This window comes from Homo sapiens, chromosome 12 (assembly GCF_000001405.40).
Source record: "Homo sapiens chromosome 12, GRCh38.p14 Primary Assembly".
Taxonomy (NCBI): domain Eukaryota; kingdom Metazoa; phylum Chordata; class Mammalia; order Primates; family Hominidae; genus Homo; species Homo sapiens.
This window is the reverse complement of record NC_000012.12, coordinates 117,956,308-117,973,476: the sequence shown is the minus strand read 5'-3', so window position 1 is coordinate 117,973,476 and position 17,169 is coordinate 117,956,308. Positions and strand designations below refer to the sequence as shown.

Sequence of the window (17,169 nt, the reverse complement as noted above, 5' to 3'; positions counted from 1 at the left end):
ATCTCTTAATTTTGGAACTACTGTCAAGAGCATTAGTCAGGGTTCTTTGTTGCCAATGACACAATCCACTCTAGGTAGTTTAAGCAGAAGTATTTTAATAGGGTGGTGAATTGTGGTCCCTCTTCCCTGCACCAAATCATATGTTGAAGCCCTAACCCTCAATGTAACTGTATCTGGAGACAGGATCTTTAGGAGGTAATTAAGGTTAGATGATGTCTTAAGGGTGGGGGCCTAATCCAATAGGACTACGGCCTTATAAGAAGAGGATGAGAGAGAAGAAGAGAGAGAGAGAGTGATAGATCTTTCTCTCTCTCTACCATGTGAGGACACAACAAGAAGGTGGCCATCTGCAAGCCAGGAAGAGAGCCCTCATCAGAACCCAGAACCTGACCATGCTGGCATCCCAATTTCAGAATTCCAGTTTCCAGAATAGTGAGAAAATAAATTTCTTTTTTCTTTTTTTTTTTGAGATGGAGTCTCGCACTGTCACCTGGGCTGGAGTGCAGTGGCGTGATCTTGGCTCACTGCAACCTCCACCTCCTGGGTTCAAGCGATTCCCCTGCCTTAGCCTCCTGAGTAGTTGGGATTACAGGTGCCCGCCACATGCCCAGCTAATTTTTTTTTCTTTTTGTATTTTTAGTAGAAACAGGGTTTCACCATGTTGGCCAGGCTGGTCTTGAACTCCTGACCTTGTAATCCACCTGCCTCGGCTTCCCAAAGTGTTGGGATTACAGGCACGAGCCACCACGCCCAGCGAGAAAATAAATTTCTGTTGTTTAAGCCACCCAGTATTTTGTTATGGCAGCCACTAAGACAGGTGGTTGAAAACTCTGTAGAATCTCCAGGAGGACAAGAGAGCCAGGTTCTGTCTGTGCAGCCAGAAATGACTCCCAAACCAGCTGTGGGGCTGCCCCTGTGAACACGTGACATGCCTTTCACCGTGGACACCAAGCTTACACAGGGGTGGAGCACCTGGAAGCAGATGGCTTGGCTGCCAGGCTCACTATCAGATAGATTCCTCCCTTTTGTTGTTCACTTCCTGGCAGAAATCTCATGTGATCTTCTAATGGCACAGCCTAGATCACATGTGACCTGTTTGCAAGGAAGATTCTGGAAAAGTGCTTTGGCTTCTCTGAGGGAAAGGTGGAACTCATAATGTGAGGCATTTTCCAAACATAGGAAGAGTATGCATTTGTGTGCTGCTTACAGCCCTGCCCATTGATGACATCTGCCCCATGGGCTACTTTCATTGTTTAAACTTCCACTTCTTCTGAGAACAACTAGAAAAACAAGATTAAATCATCATCATCGTCACCATCTGTTAAAAGACATTCAGAGAACTGCTGAAATAACCAGGACTAAAGGGGCCAAGATTCTGGAGACAGGAACACCGTGGTGAGGTGAGCTGATGTTCTGCAGCCGATTTTTCCCTGGGGATATTTGCACATTTGGGCACAGGGAAAGAGGCCGAGGTTCTAGACTCTTCCCAGGCATGAAGGCTGCTTTGGGGGAACAGAGAAACTGACAAAACTTTTAGCAACCTCATGGGGCTAGAAAGACAAAACTGGGGACTTGAGAGGCCATTATCCCAGGGAGAAGACAGGGGCAGAAAAGTGAGCCTGATAGATGGTGGTTTCCCCTCGAGGTATTTGGCAAAGTTTGAAATAGTGCAGGGCAAGAAGCAAAGAAGCCAAGCAGAAGGTCCCTCAAAAACAGAGCCGTTCCCACAGTCTCGCCATGCTGTGGAGATAAGGGTTAGAGCTCAGGACCAGAGAGAGGGGCCTTAGTGAACACCCAAGGTTCCTAGCTGGAACCCTGGAAAGGCACAGCATTAGAGGTAGGGAACAGAGTGAAGTGGTGTCTTATCAAAACTATAACCTGGTCTCCACCCAGCTCAGCCCCTGATTGGATTAAGATAATTGATCTGTATGCCATTTGTCTTGCAGAGAAAGGGTGCGTCCTCTCCAGAGTTAGATATTATCACCTGGAGACTGTACATTTTTTCAACGTCTGACATTCAATAAGAATTACAAGGCCTGCCAAGAGACAGGACCATATCACTGAAAATAAAGGGAAAAATAGTCAATAGAAAGAGACCCACAGGTGATCAAGCTTTTGGAGTTAGACAAATGCTTTAAAATAACCATAATTAACATGTTTAAGAAAAATGAAAAGTTGGAGAAAATAGATGAAAAGAGATAATTTTACCAGAGAATCGGATTTCATAAACTTCATCGTCCAAAAGATTGAGAACATAGAGAACTTACTTCACCTGCTCATTGACAGATGTTGAAAATACTGACTCAGTTCTGTATAGCTATAAATCCCATGGCTTACAGTATTGTTTTTCTTTCTTTGTGTTTTTTTTTTTTTTTTTTTTTTGAGACAGAGTTTTGCTCTTGTTGCTCAGGCTGGAGTGCAATGGCACAATCTCAGCTCACTGCAACCTCCGCCTCCTGGGTTCAAGCGATTTTCCTGCCTGGGAGTAGCTGGAATTACAGGCGCCTGCCACCATGCCAGGCTAATTATTTGTATTTTTAGTAGGGACAGGGTTTCACCATGTTGGCCAGGCAGTCTCAAACTCCTGAGCTCAGGCTATTCACCCGCTTCAGCCTCCCAAATTGCTGGGATTACAGGTGGGAGCCACCACACCGGGTCAGCTGGCAGTCTTAAAAAAAAAAAAAAGTGTGTTGAGGGAGAGCATCAGGAAAAATAGCTAATGCATGCTGGGCTTAATACCTAGGTGATGGGTTGATAGGTGCAGCAAACCATCATGGCACACGTTTACCTATGTAACAAACCTGCACATCCTGCACATTTACCCCAGAACTTAAAAATAAAGGTTGTCATTCAACGTGGCCACCACTGGCTCCTGTTCGCTCTGCTTTTCAAGTGGCTTCATTTAAGAGTGACATATTATACCATGTGTTCTGAGTATCACGTCTTACTCAGTCCTCAGCACAGGGCTCTGTTCACCTAAAGAAAGAGGTGCCTTTTGCTAATCATTCTAAATACATCTGTTGGGCAATGTGTGTTGGGAATACTATTAGATAAGGTGGTTAGGGAGATGAGGCCTCTCTGAGATGATATTTGAGTTAACAGTGACAAGAAGAAACCCACCAGGAGAGGATTAGGGTGAAGCATGTTCTGAGCACTGTGGACATAGAGTACAAAGATTTAATCAAGAGTCAGCAAACTTTTCTGTAAAGTGCCAGACAGTAAATCTTTCAGGTGTTGTGAACCACCGGTCTCAGCTGCAGCTACTCAACTCTGCTTTACAACGCAGGAGTAACCACAGACAATAAACAGATGGGTGGTGGTACTCCAATAAAACTTTACTTGTGGACACTGAGATGTGAATTTCACATAACTTTCACGTGTCACAAAATGTTATTTTCATTTTTTTCCAACCATTTTATTTACATTTTTAATTTTTGAATTTTTAGTAGCGACAGGGTCTTGCTATGTTGTTGCCCAGGTTGGTCCCAAACTCCTGGCCTCAAGCGAGCCTCCTGACTGCCTCCCAAAGTTCTGGGGATTACAGGCATGAGCCACCTCACCAGGCTTCCAAAAATTTCAAAAGGTAAAAACCATCTTAACTGTGGAGCCATCGTTTGCTGATATAACGTCAGTTAGGTATGCTGGGGTCAGGCCACACAGACACTTGTAGGACATGGGAATACTCAGAATAAGGCAAAGGCCCTTTTCCTCGCCAAATGGAAAGCCATCAGGGCGGGCCAGGCTACCAAGTCTAGGAGGCAGCTTCCTGAAATTCACGGAAGATCATCAGGTTCGCTTTATTTTTTCCCCAGTAACAAGAAAGGACAAACGAACAAAAAAGGCACACACACACAAACACACACCCAAAGGACAAACGAACAAAAAAGGCAAACACACACACACACACACACCACCCCCGAGCTAAAGACAGACGGGATGTGCCCAGGTTCACGCCGACGCCTCTCCGGCGCGCACCGAGGGTTTTAAAGTTGGGCGCACACCTGCTCCCAGCCGGAGCGCACCTGCTGAGCAGCACTCCGGCCCGGTCTCGCGAGAGCGGTGCAGGAGTAGTGGCCCCCACCCGCTCCCCGCCACCAAATCCCTCTCCCCGCCCCCTCGCCCAGCCTCCAGGCTCGGGCACACTCCCGGCCTCCCCCGCCGCCCCCGGGAGCAGGCTGGGCCCGATGCGCGCGCTGTCTCCGCGCCCCCGCCCGCCGATCGCTCGCTTGCTCGCTCGCACGCACTCCCGGTAGTAATTTCACTTTGCCACGCGAGCTCCGCAGCCCCTAGAAATCCCGCCCCCCGGCCAGGTGCGCGAGTCTGCGCGCTCCTCCTCCGCCTCCTCCGACGGGTCCCTGGCGCGCCGGGGCCGGGGCCCGGCTGGGGCGGCTGCGCGCACGGCGCCTCTCCACCAACCCGCTCCCCTGCAGGTCCCTCGCTTGGTCTCCATCCCTCTCCGGCGCTCCCTCGCTCCCCCCCGCCCTTTGATTGACAGGCAAGATGTCGGTGTGGAGCGAGGCAGGAGCGATTGCAGCAACCGTCACCCCCGGAGCCCGGCGGCGGCAGCAGCAGCAGCAGCAGCAGCGCGGGGAGGAGACAGCAGCCAGCCGCAGTAGCCGCCGCAGCCGCGGGAGCAATGCAGACAGCACCTTGAGAACGCGCTAAAGCACTCCAAACCGTGGACCATGCCGTGTCCCTGCAACTGGGAGGGGGGAAAACCAGATTTTTTTTGACATAAAAGCAAGCCAGCCAAAAATATATAATTTTGTCCTTCAAGGAGCCGGTGTGTAAAGAGTGAGCGCTATTTTCCTTCTCCTCCTCCTCCTCTCCCTCCTCCTCCTCTCCCTCCTCCTCTCTCTCCTCCTTCTCCTCTTCTTTTTCCTCCTCCTCCTCCTCCCTAAGTGTACAGACAGCATCACATCACCTGGTTTGCTTCTGAGAAACAGCATCTCTCCTTTTCAGGGACCAGAGACTCAGAGAGAGAGGAGACATTCTAATGGAGTCCGCTTGATATCCCAAAATAAAATAATAAATTTTGGCTCTTGTCCCCTCCTCCCACTCCCACCCCCTCAACCCTGTGTGAGATGTTGGATTTCTTCTTCATGAGACATTGTTGAGAAGTCGCAGTGGTTGGAGAGGCGGAGGGTAGACTACCTCTACTCCCCCCCCTCTTTTTTCTCTCTGGGAGGAGGAGGAGGGGAAGGGGGTTGCAGAGCAAGCGATGGATGAGGAAAACATGACGAAAAGCGAGGAGCAGCAGCCTCTGAGTTTGCAAAAAGCCTTACAGCAGTGCGAACTGGTCCAAAACATGATAGACTTGAGCATCTCCAACCTGGAAGGGCTTAGGACCAAATGTGCTACCTCCAACGACCTCACACAAAAAGAAATCCGGACCCTGGAGGTAGGTGTTGCCTACGGGAAAAAAAAAAAAAAAAAAAAAAAAAAAAGCAATCCTTCTTTCCCCCTCCTTTCTCCCCACGGTCCCCTTTCCCTCTGATTCTGTTTATTGGGGGCTGGGGGTGGTGGTGTGGGCAAGCAAGGTGGGCACGGTTTGCTTTTCTGTGATTTCTCTCCTTGCAAAGCCTGCATTGGATATCCTTTTACTGTGCTGCTGTCGTCTGCGCTTGGCTGGGTGGTGGTAGTAGTAGTAGTAATTGTTATTCTTTATTTATTATTATTGTTGCGGCTGTTACCGTTGTCATTCGCTTCCTCGCTGAGGAGGGAGTTCTCTCTTTTTTCCGCTTGTGGATTTGTTTATATGCCACGGGGGCTTGTGTGCCGGGTAATACATTAAGGAGCTGCAGAGAACCCACGTGACCTTGCGCATTCTGCAGGTGGTCAAAAGGTGGTTTTTGCTCACAGAATGGGGCCGCCTGTCAGTGTAGACCTCTTCTTCTCTTGGCCTTCTTCCCCTCCCTCCTTTTGCTCCTTAGATTTTTTGTTTTAAATCAGTGATATACATGTCAGGAGGCAAGATGCATGAAAAAAAAAATTCCTATGGAACTACCCATTTCCAATCCAATCGTTTTGATGCAGTGAGCTGTTGCAGGCCTAAAACGTACAAAAGGGAAAAAAAAATATGCCTCAATCAGCACACATAGGTGGTGTGGGAGAATACTCCTGAATCTCAGTGGGACTGTGAGGAAAGAGGAAAGGGGTCGGGGAGGAGGAGTTATCTTTGGCTTCTTGTGACATTCTCTCCGGCAGAACTTGAGGGGGAGTTTGAAACAGTTTTTTGGGGGAGTGGGATGGGATGAAGGGTGGTTGCAAAGTTACTCAGAAAGAAGATGGCAGAAATTATTTTTTTCTGAAGGCCATTTGGTCAAAGGAGGAAGGTTTAAAGAGGCTTAGGAAATGCCAAATGCCTGGTGTCCACGAGATCACTGGACATCTGCATTGTTCAAAATGTTTGAAGGGTTCAGCTCACTTCCTTCTCCCAAACCAACCCAGCTATACGCATGGGTTGATTAAATTTGGGAACTTCCATTAGCTGGCATCCGCCGAGGGTGGGGGCAGTGGGGCTGAGAGAACAGGGGTTCCCTCTGTGGTGGAGTGGGCATGAGCAGTACTGAGACGTTCATCTTGGTCCTGGCACATGAGTTCCCAAGGCCTGAACTCGTCAGTCCGTAGTGAATCTTGTGGCCCTCCTGCCCCTGTTGTAGCCTGGATGGGTGCTTTTCTCGGATTCGCTTTGGGTATTTCTTTTTTTTCCGTGATTTTTAAATTTGGCTGGATGTCAACATGCAGGAGGTCATCCCTTTGAAAGAAGAGAGAGAGAGAGAGGGAGGGAGAAAGAGAGGGAGGGAGAGAGAGAAAGAGAGAGACAGCATGTGTGTGTGTGTGTGTGTGTGTGCGTGCGCGTGTGAGAGAGAGAGAGAGAGAACATGCTGTTTGCTACCCTAGGATGCATGTCTGTGTGCACCTGTCATCTGGAAATGTGATCCTCAGAGATGAAATAAGATCAATGTCAAGGTGTATCGGGAGAGTGGGAATTGTGTTGGGAGGCACAGGTATTGCCTTTCCTGGAGCTTGGGAGAGCAGGTGAGGCCGGAGCTCTGTTGCTGGAAGAAAAAGTGTGGGATGTTCTGATCCAGCCTTCTGTCTCTGCCTGAACAGTGCCCAAGAGCAGACTCTTCAGACCTGCATGCAGTCAATAAATAACCCCAAAAAAGCCACCTGAGCTCTCTTCTGTTCCTCTGAATCAGGAGTCCCAAATGCTAGTTTGTGTATTCCTGTGTAAGTTTCTTCGAAGTTTTCTTTTTTTTTGTTTCAAACATGCTCCATCCTCTGATAGCTTCCTGGATGGGGATGTGCCGCAGTGGGCATTGCCTTCTTTCTGCCTAGTGGTTTTCCTTTTAAACTGGGGGGATGGAGGCACTGGTAGGATGGCTATGGGGGAGTTGCAGTTGTAGGAAATGCATCTGTTTTCAGTTCCCTTGTCCCAGTATGCTACAGAGCATGCAACCACTTTCATCCATCTTGCCCAGGGAATGCTCTTGAGCAATTATTCCAATTTGTATTTCCCAGATTTGCAGGGTTAGGGAGGGCCCCTGCAGAGGGGCTGGTAACTTAGGGTCCAGCCAAGTCCAGCCAACGCTAACATTTGGGTCCACGGAATTTTCTAATTTTGTATATCAAAACCATATGAGGGTGCTTGTTAAAATGCAGATTCTTAGCCTCTAACCCTAGAGATTCTAGTTTAGCTGGGATTAGCAAGAGGGTCAAGGAATCTGCGTTTAATAAACAGTCCAGGTATTTCTGATACATGTTTTCAAATGGACACTTTGAGATGCTAAACCATTAGGAGAAAGATGTGATATTTCAGCTCTTTAATGGTGAAAACTCACTGCTTGCTAACACTAATGCAAGTAATAAATTGAATAGATGATCCCTGAACAGTGCTGTGATAATGAACAGCACTTAATAGCATGTATACACTTCTGTAGAAACAAAAATATGCAAGGTGGACTTGGCCTTCAGGAAGCATACTTCATGATATAATAATGTGTATGTGAAATAATGATAAAGTCTAAGTGGTAAATAATATGGGGGACAATGTGTGAGCCCATTAGGCATGTGTTCAGCTGCATGAAATGGAAAACCCAATCCTAGCAGTAAGGCAAATAATGGTTTCTCTTCATGTAACAAGAATTCTGGAGACATATAGCTGCTTCAGTTGGCTCAGTAGGTTAGTAATACCAGGGCTGATGTCTTTGGGAATTCTCATGGCTTTTCTCTTATGGTTGCAAGATGGTTCCTGCAGCTTCAGCGATTACATCTGAGTTCAAGGTAGGAAAGAGGAGGACCTGGTGAGTGTGAAGGAATAAAGGGTTCCCCAGGACATCTCTTCCTCCTCACCTTGCAGATGATTTGATTATATCTTCTTGGCCAGAACTGAGTCCTAGCTGCAAGGGAGCCCGGGAAGTGGGGAAGTGGGACCACCACCAGGATCGGCTTAGATGGATCATGATCCATTGCCTGAAATGACATGTTGCCACTCCATGCAAAATCAGGGCTCTGCTAGTGTGGAAGGAGGCATAGGTAGATATTAAGTAAGTGGACAGCCAGCGATGGCAGCCATGGCACATAGTCAGAAGATATTTTGGTGGAAAAGAAAGTTCATGAACGTTGAGTCAGACTGATATAGTTGTAAATTCTAGCTTGTCTTTTTACTTTATCTTGGGCTAGTGATTTAAGTTTTCTGATTTATAGTTTTAAGTTTTTGGCAAAACAGCAATAATTAAATAATATTCCCTACTTCAGAGGATGGTTATAAGGATTGAAAGAGATAACGTTTTCAAGGGTCTAGCACTATCTGGAACAGAGTGGCTGCAGGTGCTAAATGAATGACAGCTGTGATGATGATAATGATTGGCATTACATGGTGTTGACTAGATGGCATGGAAGGGAGCAGTTCAGATTGGACAGAGAGAAGGAGGAGCTTGAGTAGCATTTCCAAAGTATGTTCTGTAGAACCCTAAATCTGTGGGATGTTAGCGTTTTTAATTCTTTCAACAAATGCTGACATCCAGGCACTGTACTTAATGCTGGTAGTCAATAAGTGTTCTGTGGACAAAACAAATTCTGTGGTTAATAAGTTTGGGAAGGGTTGAGTTAAGCAAAGGGAAACAGGCATCTTTACTGCAGGACTTTTCTCAGAGCCTTTAATATGCTACCTATGTGTATTAGGCCTCCAAGAGAGGATAGAACGGAGTCTCGCTCTTGTCACCCAGGCTGGAGTGCAGTGGCGCAATCTCAGCTCACTCTGCCTCCTGGGTTCCAGTGATTCTCTTGCCTCAGCCTCCCAAATAGCTGGGATTACAGATGCCCGCCACCATGCCCTGGTAATTTTTGTGTTTTTAGTAGAGACGAGCTTTTGCCATGATGGCCAGTCTGGTCTTGAACTCCTGACCTCAGATGATCTGCCCGCCTCGGCCTCCCAAAGTGCAGGCGTGAGCCACTGCACCCGGCCCAAGGATTTCTCCTGGGATTTTTGTTCCATAGGATACACCTGGGAAAACATTTGGCAAAGCAGGGAAACCTTCTTGGTTGGGGAGATGGGGATTTGGAGTGAAGGATGAGGAGGGTTTAGATTGCAGCAAAAGGGGAGAGCATGCTGGACAAGAACAACAAACCAGATGAAGGTATTTGAATGCCTTCATGGGGCAGCCTAGAGACCATTTTGCCCAGAATGGAGGGTACCTGGTAGCCTGTCATAGGAAATGAATTTAGGCCACTAACTTCTGGGATCCAACTAAAGATTAGAGAGTCAGACCAACAACGTTTCATCCCTTTGTGGAAGGAGATAGAAGTCTTCAAAGGTTTTGGAATGCATACAATAGAAAAGTATAAGCTTTTTTGTTTTGTTTTTTTTGAGGCAGGGTCTCACTCTGTAACTCAGGCTGGAGTGCAGTGGCACGATCATGGCTTACTGCAGCCTTGACCTCCAGGGCTCAAGAGATCCTCCTGCCTCAGCCTCTTGAGTAGCTGGGACTACAGGTATGCACCACCACGCTTGGCTAATTTTTTGTATTTTTTAAATAGAGACAAGGTATTGCTATGTTGCTCCAGCTGATCTTGAACTCCTGGGCTCAAGTGATTCGCCTGCCTTGGATGGCAGCCTACGGCAGGGGCTGGCAAACTTTTTCTGGAAAGGGACAGATAGTAAAGAGTTTAGGCTTTGTGGACCCTGCAATTTTTATCAAAGCTACTCGACTCTGTGCTGTAGCATGTAGCAGCCATGGGCAGTACATACATGAATGGGTGGGGCAGTTTTCTTTTTATTTTGAGACAGGGTCTCGCTCCGTTGCTCAGGCTGGAGTGCAGTGGCGTGATCTCGGCTCATTGCAACCTCCGCTTCCCAGTTTCAAGTGATTCTCCTGTCTCGGCCTCCTGAGTAGCTGGGATTACAAGCCTGCACCATCACGCCTGGCTAATTTTTGTATTTTTAGTAGAGACAGGGTTTCAGACCAGCCTATTGGCCAGGCTGGTCTCAAACTCCCGACCTCCAGTGATCCGCCCACCTCAGCCTCCCAAAGTGCTGGGATTATAGGCGTGAGCCATCAAGCCGGGCCTGGTGGGGCAGTTTTCTAATAAAACTTTATTTGTGGACCCTGAAACTTGAAATTGATATACTTTTTGCATGTCATGAATATTTTTCTTTTGATTTTTTTTTTGATGTTTATAGTTGTACAAACTGTAGTTTCTGGGCCTTACAAAAACAGGTGATGGTGGCCAGGCACAGTGGCTCACGCCTGTAATCCCAGCACTTTGGGAGGCTGAGGTGAGTGGATCACTTGAGGTCAGGAGTTTGAGACCAGCCTGGCCAACATGGCGAAACCCCGTCTCTACTAAAAATACAAAAATTAGTGGGGCATGGCAGCGGGTACCTGTAATCCCAACTACTCGGGAGGCTAAGGCAGGAGAATCACTTGAACCTGGGAGGTGGAGGTTGCAGTGAACCAAGATGGCACCATTGCACTCCAGCCTGGGTGACAGAGGGAGACTACATCTCAAAAAAAAAAAAACCCAAAAAACAAAACAAAACAAAACCCAGGCGATGGGTCATATTGGGCCCATGGGCTGTAGCTTGCTAATCCCTAGGCTGTAGGATAGATGAGAGGGGAAAAACTCTGAAAGACAGAGACCATCCTAAGGTGAGCAAGTGACACTAGAATGGGAGAGTACTAGCCAAGTAGAGGTAGTTTTGAGCTGGATTCTGTTTTAGTTAAATTGCAAGGGGAAAAAAATATTAGGAGTTGAGGTTGAACAAGTATGGAATCTCCTTGTATAGCAAGGGTATTGTAGCTTTTTTTTTTTTTTTTTTTTTAAAGAGACAGGGTCTTGCTCTGTCACCCAGGTTGGAGTACAGTGGTGCCATCATAGCTCACTGCAGCCTTGAACTTCTGGGCTCAAGCGATCCTCCTGTCTCAGCCTCCTGGGTAGCTGAGACTACAGCCACATGTCACTGCACCCAGCTAATTTAAAAATTTTTTATAGAGACAGTATCTTGCTTTGTTGCCCAGGCTGGTCTTAAACTCCTAGCTTCAAGCCACCCTCTTGCCTTGGCCTCCCAAAGTGCTGGGATTACCGGTGTAATCACCACGCCTGGCCTCCCATCATTTCTTTGCTCTTCATATATTCCATCTCAATTTTCTATTGCTGTGTCATGAACTATCTTTAAACTTAATTTCGTTTGGAAAACTTTGGGCTTAAGACAACAATTTGTTATTTTCATGATTCTGTGGGTTGGGCTTGGTTGGAGGGTTCTGCTGGTCTTGCCTGAGCTCCTCTCGTGGCCACATTCAGCTGGTGGAAAGGGAGGAGGATAGGAAAGCTGAGACTTTCTCTCCCTGCAGCCTGTTGGTGCGATAGCTTGGGTTTCTTACAGGTCTCCAGTGTTCCTAGAGAGCAAGAGGGAAAGTGGCAAGGAGTCTTGGTATTTGGAAATCACAGGATGTTACTTCCACTGGAGTTGTGAGATAATATAAGTCCCATGGCCAGCCTGGGTATAGAGGATGGGGAAATAGACTCCCATCTTGGTCAGAGAAGCTGCAAAGTTAGTGTATTAATTAGGACAGACTGTAAGAAATAGACCCCTAAATGTCTTTTTCTTGTTCGCTAAACAGTCCAAGGAGGGTGTTCTTGGTTTGCAGGTGGCGGGCCATTCTCTCATGCTCCAGACCCCTTCCCCTCTGCAGCATTATCATTGGTGCATCTAGAAGGGGGAGAAAGTGCAGAGAAGACAAAGCCTTATTTCCCAAAGTTGCCCTCATCAGTGCATTCCCTTATGCTTGCGTTCCCTTAGCTAGCATTTAGTCACAACACTGCAAAGAAAATGGAGAATGAAGTTTAGCTGAGCTCAGGAAGAAGAGAATAGGCTGGATGTGGTGGGTCACACCTGTAATCCTGGCACTTTGGGATGCCAAGGTGGGAGGATTGCTTGAACCCAGGAGTTCAAGACCAGTCTGGACAATGTGGTGAAGCCCCATATCTACCAAAATACAAAAATTAGTCAGGTGTGGTGGCACGTGCCTATAGTCCCAGCTACTCGGAAGGCTGAGGTGGGAGGATGGTTGGAGACTGGAAGGCAGAGGTTGCAGTGAGCCGAGATTGTACCACTGCACTCCAGCCTCGGTGACAGAGCCAGAACCTGTCTCAAGAAAAAAAAAAAAAAAAAGGAAAAAGAAAATATGCTGAATAGCTAGTAGTCTCTGCCACAGCTAATGATAAGCTGTCATATCAGTTATGTATTGCTATAGAACAACCTACCTCAAAACTTAGTAGCTTAAAACAATCATCATTTGCTCAGATGCCTGCAGTTAGGTATGGACTCAGCTGGCCAGTTCTGCAGATCTTGCCTGACTCACTTGTGGTTGTGTTTATCTGATGGCTCAACTGTGGCTGGAGGGTCCGAGATGGCCCTGCTCACATGGCTGGTGGTTGGCTACAGTGCCTCACTTCTCTGCTCCATGGCTTTTCTGGCAGGATAGCCCGGGTTTCTTACATGGTGGCAGCAACGGTGTTCCTAGAGGACAGGCGCCAGTGTGCAAGCCCTTCCTAAGCCTCTGGTTCTGCAACCTTTGCTAATGTCCTCTTTGCCAGAGCATGTTACATAGATAAGCCCAGAGTCAGTGTGACTATGGATTCCAGGAGGTGTGGTTTATTGAGGGGCTAATGAACAATCTAATGTCACAATATACCACAGCCATGAAAATCAACCAAAACAAAAAGAGCATAGGGGAGCAAGGGAAAGATATGGGATGATCAACAAAGGCTCTTTCATGGAGGTTTTACTAACTTGAGGAAGCCAAGCCATGAAATATTTGGGGGAAGAGTGTGCCAGGCAGAGGGAACAGCAGATGCAAACTTCTTGGATGGGAACATGCTTGGCATGTTATTGGAACCCCAAGGAGTCCACTGTGGTTGGAGAGCAGGGAGTGGGCAGGGAAAGGATGAAGAGGGACGCAGTGGGAGACAGAAGCTGGTCATAGGGGGCTTTGCTAAGACGCTAAGGTACTTGAAGTTTTTTTTTTTTTTTTCTTTTGAGACAGGGTCTCACTCTGTCACCCAGGCTGCAGTGCAGTGGCACTGTCATGGCTCACTGAAGCCTCGACCTCCCAGGCTCAGTCCTTCCTCCCACTTCAGCCTCCCAAGTAGCGGGGACTGCAGATGTGCATCACCATCGCTGGCTACATTTTAAAAATTTTGTAGAGATAGGGTCTCCCTATGTTGCTCAGGCTGGTCTCCAACTCCTGGGCTCAAGTGATGCTCATGCCTTGGCCTCCCAAAGTGCTGAGATTACAGGTGTGAGCCATCATGTCCAGCCTTGGATTTTGTTCTAACTGTGATAGAAGCCCTTTGAACCAGGGGTTATATTTTTAAATGATCTTCTGATTGCTGCAGGGTAAACAGACTGTAGGAGGTAGGAATGAGAGCAGGGAGACAAGTTGGTAGTTATTGTGGAAGTCCAAGCCCTCAATGACTGTGCTTTTGACTGGTATGATTGTTGTGGGGTGGATGGGGCAGGTGGCTGGATTCAGAAGATCAAGTATGTGGAAGGTGCTGATGAATCTGATGTGGATGTGAAGGAGAATCAAGAATCGAAGATTATTCCTAGGTGTTTGGCTTGAGTGCTAGGAGAATGGGGGTCCCCTTGTTTGAAATGTAAGACTGGAGGTGGAATAGATTGGGTTTGACAGTCAAGTCCTGTTTGACATGCTACATTTGTCAAGTAGACAGCTGGATGTGTGAGCTTGGAGCTCTGAGAAAGGCTGGAGATACGAAGTTCACTTAATAGACCATGAACCAATTTTTCAAATTATTAAAGTATTATTATTGTTTAATTAATACATAATAGATGTACATATTTTCAGGGTATGTGTGATATTTAGATACATTCATATAATGTATAATAATCAAATCCAGGTAACTGGGCTATCCATTACCTTAGATGTTTATCTTTTCTTTATACTGAGAACATTCGGATTATTCTCTTCTAGCTATTTTGAAATATACAATAGATTATTGTTTACTGTACTCACTCTACTGGTTTGTTCAACACTAGGTCTTATTTTTTCTATATATCTGTAAAAAGTATTATTTGTAATGGCTACATAGTATGACATGGATGCCCCATCATTTCTCACTTTATTTTGAGACAGAGTCTCACTCTGTCACCCAGGCTGGAGCGCAGTGGCGTGATCTCCGCTCACTACAACCTCTGTCTCCCAGGTTCAAGCAATTCTTGCGCCTCAGCCTCCCGAGTAGCTGGGATTACAGGCGCATTCCACCGCACCCAGCTGATTTTTGTATTTTTAGTAGAGATGGAGTTTCACCATGTTGGCCAGGCTGGTCTTGAACTCCTCATCTCAAGTGATCTGCCCGCCTAGGCCTCCCAAATTGCTGGGATTACAGACCTGAGCCACCATGCCCGGCCCCCATCATTTCTTTAACCAAAATTCTATTGTCAGGTGCTTATGTTCATACTTTTACATTTTTATAACAATGCCACAGTGGACGTCCTTGTGGCTAATTCTTATTTTCAGCTCCTAGAAATGGAACTGCTGGATCAAAGGATATGCAAAAGTTTAGGACTTTCCATGGGTTTTGCCAAGTTGCCCTTCACCAGCAGTGTTGGAAAGGGTTCATTTCCCCATACCCTCAGCACAGGTGTATATTTTATTTTATTTTTTGAGTGTGAGTGTTTTGATGTCTAAGAGCTCAGGGTTAAGGAGGCTGTTGTCTCAGGTCAGAATGAGATCTTTACTGTTTTTAACTGGGTAGGGCCTTGGTACCTGGGGTAATGGGGAATACTTGGTCTTCTGCACAAAGTGGTCAACCTCAGCTGGGTGCAGTGGCTCACGCCTGTAATCCCAGGACTTTGGGGGGCCAAGGCAGGCAGATCACTTGAGGCCAGGAGTTCAAGACCAGCTTGGCCAACATGGCGAAACCCCGTCTCTACTAAAAATACAAAAAAATTAGCTGGTGTGGGGGCACATGCCTGTAATCCCAGCTACTTGGGAGGCTGAGGCAGGAGAATCGCTTGAACCCAGGAGGCGCAGGTTGCAGCGAGCTGAGATTGCATCACTGTACTCCAGCCTGGGCAACAGAGTGAGACTCAGTTTAAAAAAAAAAAAAAAAAAAGGTGGTCAGCCTGTGAGGACTTGGCCCTTTCCTTTTGCCTTGTGTTCATAAAGGTGTGCGTGTGTGTGTGTGTGTGTGTGTGTAACTCACAATTCTAAGTCATGATAAATGTTATGTCTGAAGGGTTCACTCCTCCCTCTGGGTTTTGAGAGTGGATTCTACCAGGCAATTTGTAATCCATCACCTTTCAATGAGTAGAAAACTAGGAAGTCTTTCCACCCCCAGAGAATGGGTCATTTCCTGGGCTTCCACCCATGTGGTCCCAACTGTTGGGAAGAGGGATAGGGCCTGGCCTTCCTTCTTGCCCACCGTGTGCTGCTCTGGGTGTGGGGACAGGGGAGGTGTTGAGAGGCTGAGGAGGACAGGAGACACATGGTGGCCAGGAAGGAGGATGGAGAAGCTGAAAGATGGGAAGGGAAAAGGGACAAAAATAGGAGAAGAAAGTAAAAAAATAGAACGATTTTCTTCAGCAGGGCTTCTGTGATGCTTGGAATGTCCTTCCAATGGGTCGTGACCACAACCGTGGTTGTTGCTCCTTTACAGGCAGGTTTATTGAGGTTTAGAGTCACCAATTTGACCCAAACTGACCGAGTAAGGCAGCCGCAGACACAGGAACAGACAGAGGTTTACTGCTCTCCTGTGGACTCCCCAAAGGTGAAATCTCCTGGAAGAGAAGAAAGAAAGATGAGGAGAAACAGAGGGCGAAGGGGAAGTGTAGACGTTAATGGTAATGATGTGATTAGAGGTGGCAGCCATAGGATTAATGACAATCACGATGATGGAATACTTAATCTGTCTCTAAAATGCTTTCCTTGGTGACTATTATGGATGACAATTATTTGAGAGAAATAGAGGACTGATAGAAACAAAGTAGAAACATAGAGACAGGGGAGGATGAGATAAAGAGAGGGAGATATTTTAGACCTGAGCTATCCAGTATGGCAGCCACTTGCCACATGTGGCCATTGACCAACGGAAATACGGTGAGTCCTAGTTGAAATGTGCTGTTAGTGTCAAATACACACCAGATTCCAAACTTTTTTTAAAAATTAAAAAAAATTTTTTTAAGAGAGATGAGGGTCTCACTATGTTGCCCAGGCTGGCCTTGAACCCCTGAGCTCAAGTGATCCTCCTGCCTTGGCCTCCCAAAGTGCTAGGATTACAGGGGTGAGCAGCCACCCCCAGTCCAAACTCTTAGTATGAAGGAAAAAAAATATAAAATATTGCATTGATAATTTCTATTTTCTGTTTTTTATTTTTTAGCGAGACAAAGTCTTGCTCTGTCGCCCAGGCTGGGATGCGGTGGTGCAATCATGGCTCACTGCACCCTTGACCTCCGGAGCTCAAGCAGTCCTCCTACCTCAGCTTCCCAAGTAACTGGGACTACAGGTACATGCCACCACACCTGGCTAATTTTTAATTTTTTGTAGAGGTGCGGGTCTTGCTATGTTGCCCAGGCTGGTCTCCAACTCCTGGGCTCAAGCAGCCCTCCTGCCTTGGCCTCCCAAAGTTCTGGGATTACAG

At 47.0% G+C, this 17,169-nt stretch overlaps 1 protein-coding gene across 6 annotated transcripts in view, besides 2 other annotated features; it reads left to right on the top strand.

Annotated features, from left to right (window-relative positions):
• Positions 4,085-4,194: a silencer, noted in NCBI's record as "silent region_4919". NCBI's record gives its function as "represses an Ori minimal core promoter by ATAC-STARR-seq in GM12878 lymphoblastoid cells {active_cell/tissue: GM12878}" and the evidence as "EXISTENCE:reporter gene assay evidence [ECO:0000049][PMID:35858748]".
• Positions 4,205-4,474: a silencer, noted in NCBI's record as "silent region_4918". NCBI's record gives its function as "represses an Ori minimal core promoter by ATAC-STARR-seq in GM12878 lymphoblastoid cells {active_cell/tissue: GM12878}" and the evidence as "EXISTENCE:reporter gene assay evidence [ECO:0000049][PMID:35858748]".
• KSR2 (kinase suppressor of ras 2) overlaps positions 4,487-17,169 on the top strand; it is a 515,979-nt gene continuing 503,296 nt past the window's right edge. For all 6 annotated transcript variants that reach the window (XM_011538224.4, NM_173598.6, XM_017019208.3 and 3 more), the window contains exon 1: positions 4,487-5,401. In XM_011538224.4, coding sequence (XP_011536526.1) covers positions 5,222-5,401 — 180 coding nt within the window. In that variant the 5' untranslated portion in view covers positions 4,487-5,221. The remainder of the gene's footprint in view (positions 5,402-17,169) is intronic.